This window comes from Homo sapiens, chromosome 5 (assembly GCF_000001405.40).
Source record: "Homo sapiens chromosome 5, GRCh38.p14 Primary Assembly".
Lineage (NCBI taxonomy): Eukaryota > Metazoa > Chordata > Mammalia > Primates > Hominidae > Homo > Homo sapiens.
In genome coordinates this window covers 157878572-157884178 of record NC_000005.10, presented here as the reverse complement: position 1 = coordinate 157884178, position 5607 = coordinate 157878572, and the positions used below count along the sequence as shown (strand labels likewise).

The 5607-nt window shown below is 49.5% G+C and overlaps 1 annotated feature.

The window, feature by feature from the left end:
* Positions 2027-2672: an enhancer, noted in NCBI's record as "OCT4-NANOG hESC enhancer chr5:157308515-157309160 (GRCh37/hg19 assembly coordinates)". NCBI's record gives its function as "activates a minimal SCP1, AML or CMV promoter by ChIP-STARR-seq in naive and primed H9 embryonic stem cells {active_cell/tissue: H9 hESC(naive and primed)}" and the evidence as "EXISTENCE:reporter gene assay evidence [ECO:0000049][PMID:30033119]".

Here is a 5607-nt window from a genome sequence, read left to right as displayed (position 1 = left end):
AGGACCAGAGTGCCTGGACTTGAGAAGTGGCCTAGATCTTGGGCCAGTGCCTGGACTTGAGAATTGGCCTAGATATTGGGCCAGTGCCTGACCAAACAGGTGAGGGCTATCCCTAAACACTTGGGGCAAGACCATCCATGTAAGTTGGGATGTGTTTTCTGTGGGATCCTCTAAGGCAAAGAGAAACTGGGAGTCAGAGTGCAGAGGAATACAGAAGAAGGCATCCTTGAGTCCCAGAACCATGAACCATTCTGCTTCCTCTGGTATTTGAGAGAGCAGGGTATAAGGGTTGGGTACAACTGGATATAGAGGAATTACTGCCTCACTGATGAGTCTAAGATCTTGCACTAGTCTCCACTGACTGTTTGGTTTTTGTACTCCTAGAATTGGGATGTTGCAGGGACTGCTGCATTTCCTTACTAAGCCTTGAGTTTTTAAATGTTTAACAATATCCTGTAATCCTTTATGAGCTTCAGGTCTTAAGGGATATTGACTTTGATAAGGAAAAGTGGTGGGATCTTTTAGCCTGATTTGGACTGGGCAGCATTTTTTGCCCTTCCAAATTGTCCTTCCAATGCCCAGACTTCAGGGTTGATTCCCTCTTCAAACAGGGGACAACAAATGAATAACTTGTTCTCCATATTCATGTAGATAATAGCTCCAGCCTTGGCTAATATATCCCTCCCTAATAAGGGTTTGGGACTTTCAAGCATAACAAGTAAGGCATGTGAAAAGAGCAAAGTCTCCCAATTACAACTGAGGAGGTGGGAGAAATACCTGGTTACAGGCTGTCCCAGGATTCCTCAGATGGTAATGGACCTTGAGGACAGCCATCCAGGACAGGCAGTTAACACTGAGAAGGCCGCACCAGTGTCAAGGAGGAAGTCAATTTCCTGGCCCTTAATGGTTAAACGTAGCTGGGCTCATTGAGGGTGATGACATGAGCTGGCGCTTGCCCCAGGCACCCTCAATCCTGTTGTTGGATCATCTGGTTGGGGGCTTCTGACCCAGAGAACCTTTGTCCTCTGGGGCAGTGTACCTTCCAGTGATTGCCTTGGCATAGTGGACATGGATGAGGGGGCGGCTTGTTTCTCATTGGACAATCTTTTTTTAAGTGTCCTTGCAAACCACACTGGTAACAAGCCCTACAGGGTGATTGGCCTGCTCCATTTTCTGTCCTCTGTGAACCACCAAGGTTTGATTATCTGAGGGCCATGACTAAGGCTGTGGCCTTTCTCTGATCTTGCTTTTCCTTTTGGGCCTGTTCCTCTTGGTCCCTATTATAGAATACCGGGGTTGCCAGGTTTAATAATGCCTCCAAATTTTGTTCAGGGCCCAGGGCTTGCTTTTGGAGCTTTCTCCTGATATCTGTGACTGATTGGGTAATAAACTTATCTTTTAGAATCAATTGACCCTCGAGTGATTCAGGTGACTCGGGAGTATATTTCCTTAAGACCTCTCATAGCCACTCAAGGAAGGCAGAAGGATTTTCTTCCTTTCCCTGAGTTATGGTGGACATCATTGAATAATTCATGGGCTTTTTCCTAATTCTCCTTAGTCCTTCTAGAACACAGGTCAACAGATGTTTACAACTCCAGTCCCCGTGGTCTGCATCAAGGTCTCAGTGGGGATCCATACTGGGGATGGCTTGCTGACCGGAAGGGAATTTATCCCTTTCTTCAGCTGTCATTCTATCATTTACTTAACTAAGATACCAGGTATCTCCAAACTCTTGGGCTACAGCTAAAGCCGCATTCTTTTCATTAAAGGCCAGGGTTTGATCTAACAGTAGCATGACATCTCTCCAAGCAAGGTCGAAGGTTTGCCCTAGACCCTGTAGGACATCTATGTACCTATCAGGATCATCTGAAAACTTCCCCAGGTCTGCCTTGATCTTCTTTAAATCAGAGAGGGAGAAGGGGACATGTACCCGGGTTGGGCCAAATTCCCCTCCCCCGACAGCTTGAAGGGGACATAACAAATAGCCTGAGGATTCTTGTGGTCCTTTGGAGATTTCTTTGCTTATTTCTTTCTGGGCAGGAGAGATTAGAGGAGGATTATCATTAATAGGAAGGGGAGCTATAGGAAGGCTAGGATATGGGGGTAAGCTGAGAGGTCCTCCTGTGGGATGTAAATTGCAAGCTTTGCGTAGTTGTGTATTCTCCCTCAATGAAAAGGAGGCTTGGACATAAGGTATTTGACTCCATTTGCCTTTCCTCTTACAGAAAAGGTCAAACTGCAGGATAGTATTGTAATTTGTACTTCCCTCAGGTGGCCATTTTTCCCCATCAGAGAGAATATTGAGGCCAAGCCGTAGTGCAGAAAAAAATGAGCTGCCTCTTTTTCAGGGTTTGCAGGTCAAATTGGTCCCAATGGCTTAGGATGCATTTCAAGGGTGAGCCTGTTGATGCCTGAGTGTTTCCCATCTGAAAGACAAAAACTGCCTGCGGTTTTGATTTGTTTTTTTCTCCCCCTGCCCAAGAACCTGCAATGGTCCCTGGCCCCTGCTGATCAGAATAGTTGTGCTCACTGACAGCAGCAGAAACAACCCCTGCCCAAGAACCCGCAACGGTCCCTGGACCCTGCTGATTGGAATAATTGCTCTCACCAACGCAGCAGCAGAAACACTAGTCTTCCTCCCAGACCACAAGGAGAACCGAGGAAGGTCGGATTTAGTGGCCCTTACTGATGCATTCTTGAAAACCTGCACCCTTGCCTGTCCTCCTAGACCACAAAGAGGACCAAGAAAAATCGGATTTAGTGGCTAACCTTACTGATGCAGTCTCGAAAACCTGTTAGAGTCCTAAGCATTCTACTGTTAGTATTGGGACCTTACCCATGTCCTATAAAGATGTTATGCCCATAAAATGAAGTGGAGGGCCATGCCCTGAGGGAGGGAAGAGTTGGAAGAGTGATGCCAACCCAGAGTTGGAAGAGTGATGCCTTTTGTCCTCACTTATATGAATAGTGAGGAAGGATACAATTTCTGAGGCTCCCCATATCCTAGCTTCAGGAATAGCTTTTGTTAGGCCTACTTGTCTGAGGAGGGATCCTAAAATTCCAGATAGTACCCCCAACGAGTCTTTGGCCAAAAATTTTGTCTTTCTGATTGGTGAGCCCGGGTGTCTAAAGAAGGTAACAGAGTCCTGGAGTTTATACTAGAAATCATTCTTATAGAAGAAACTAGAAAAGCACCAGAGACAGGGAGCGATTTTTAGAAGCAGGACTAGCCTCGGAGAAGAGAGGCGAGAGGAAGTTTGTCTGGCAGGCATTAGGACACAGAGGGCAAGGATCAGGATAGGTAGGATAGATGGGCGAGTCTCGCTTGGGCAACATGCCTTTGAGAGTTCCACTCATGGCCACAGGCTCAACCAACTTGTTGTCAGGACCCCAGAGCTGAATGGCTTTCCTCTCTGTCAACCCTCAGCTCAGCCCTGAAGTACAGGAAAAGCAGAAGCTGGTTCCAGGCAAACCAACACTCCCAACGCCGAAGAGTCGGGGGTTTTTAGAGAAAGCCCTTTCCCAGGAAGCCTGACACCCATGTCTTTAGTCCAGCGGCTAAACTAGTCGCTTTTAACTGGCCGACAGGTGCCCAGCATTTAGCCCCCGAATTCTAAGGAAAAGTAGGACAGAATAGCAAGTGAAAGGGGTCCGATGGTACTCACTGCTTGGCGATAGGTGACAGTCTCACTGCTCAGCCATAGGCAATGGTCTCACCGCTTGGCGATAGTCCCATCTGGTCGCCAAAATGTGTCTGGAATTGGTGGATTCTTGGTCTCACTGACTTCAAGAATGAAGCTGCAGACCCTGTTGGTGAGTGTTACGGCTCTTAAGGCAGCACATCTAGAGTTGTTCATTCCTCCTGTCCAGAGTTGTTCATTCCTCCCGGTGGGTTCGAGGTCTCGCTGGCCTCAGGAGTGAAGCTGCAGACCTTCGCAGTGAGTGTTACAGCTCATACAAGAAGTGTGGACCCAAAGAGTGAGCAGCAGCCAGATTTATTGCAAAGAGTGAAAGAACAAAGCTTCCACAGTGTGGAAACGGACCTGGGTGGGTTGCCACTGCTGCCTCGGGCAGCCTGCTTTTATTCCCTTATCTGGCCCCACCCACATCCTGCTGAATGGTCCATTTTACAGAGAGCTGATTGGTCCGTTTTACAGAGAGTGGATTGGTCTGTTTTACAGAGAGCTGATTGGTCCGTTTTGACAGGGTGCTGATTGGTGCGTTTACAATCCCTGAGCTAGACACAGAGCACTGATTGGTCCATTTACAACCCTCTAGCTAGACACAGAGTGCTGATTGGTGCATTTGCAAACCTTGAGCTAGACACAGAGTGCTGATTGGTGCGTTTACAAACCTTGAGCTAGACACAGAGTACTGATTAGTGCATTTACAATCCTCCAGCTACATGTAAAAGTTCTCCAAGACCCCACGTGACTCAGGACCCAGCTGGCTTCGCCTAGTGGATCCCACACCGAGGCCGCAGGTGGAGCTGCCCGCCAGTCCTGTGCCACACGCCTGCACTCTTCAGCCCTTGGGTGGTCGATGGGATTGGGCACCATGGAGCAGGGGGTGGCACCTGTTGGGGAGGCTCAGGCCACGTGAGATCCCCCCGTTCAGGGGGCTCGGGCATGGCAGGCTGCAGGTCCCGAGCCCTGCCCCGCAGGGAGGCAGCTGAGGCCCAGCGAGAATTTGAGCATGGCACAGGTGGGCCGGCAGTGCTGGGGGACCCGGTGCCCCCTCCTCAGCTGCTGGCCCGGGTGCTAAGGACCTCACTGCCTGGGGCCAGCTGGCAGCTCTGAGTGCGGGGCCTGCTGAGCCCATGCCCACCCGGAACTTGCGCTGGCCCGTGAGCATGCCCGCACCTCTCCCTCCACACCTACCCGCAAGCAGAGGGAGCTGGCTCTGGCCTCAGCCAGCCCAGAGAGGGGCAGTGGTAGGCTGAAAGGCTCCTCAAGCATGGCCAGAGTGGATGCCAAGGCAGAGGAGGCACTGAGAGCAATCGAGGGCTGCTAACACATTGTCACCTCTCACTAGCACTTTGAGAGACCAAGGCAGATGGATTGCCTGAGCTCAGGAGTTCAAGACCAGCCTGGGCAACACGGTGAAACCCTGTCTCTACTAAAACACATAAACAAATAGCCAGGTGTGGTGGTGTATGTGTGTAATCCCAGCTACTTGGGAGGCTGAGGCAGGAGAATCGCTTAAACCTGGGAGGTGGAGGTTGCAGTGTGCAGAGATTGCACCACTGCACTCCAGCCTGGGTGACAAAGCAAGACTGTGTCTCAAAAAAAAAAAAAGAAATGTAGGGGTAAATCTTCAGGACCTCACATTAGGCAATAGTTTTATTCATTCATTCATTCATTCATTCATTCATTTAAATAGAGATGGGGCCAGGCGCTGTGGCTCATGCCTGTAATCCTAGCACTTTGGGAGGCCAAGGCAGGCAGATTACTTGAGCTCAGGAGTTCGAGACCAGCCTGACCAACATAGTGAAATGCCATCTTTACTAAAAATACAAAAATTTGCTGGGTGTGGTGGTGTGCATCTGTAGTTCCAGCTACTTGGGAAGCTGAGGCAGAAGAATTGCTTGAACTCGGGAGGCGGAGG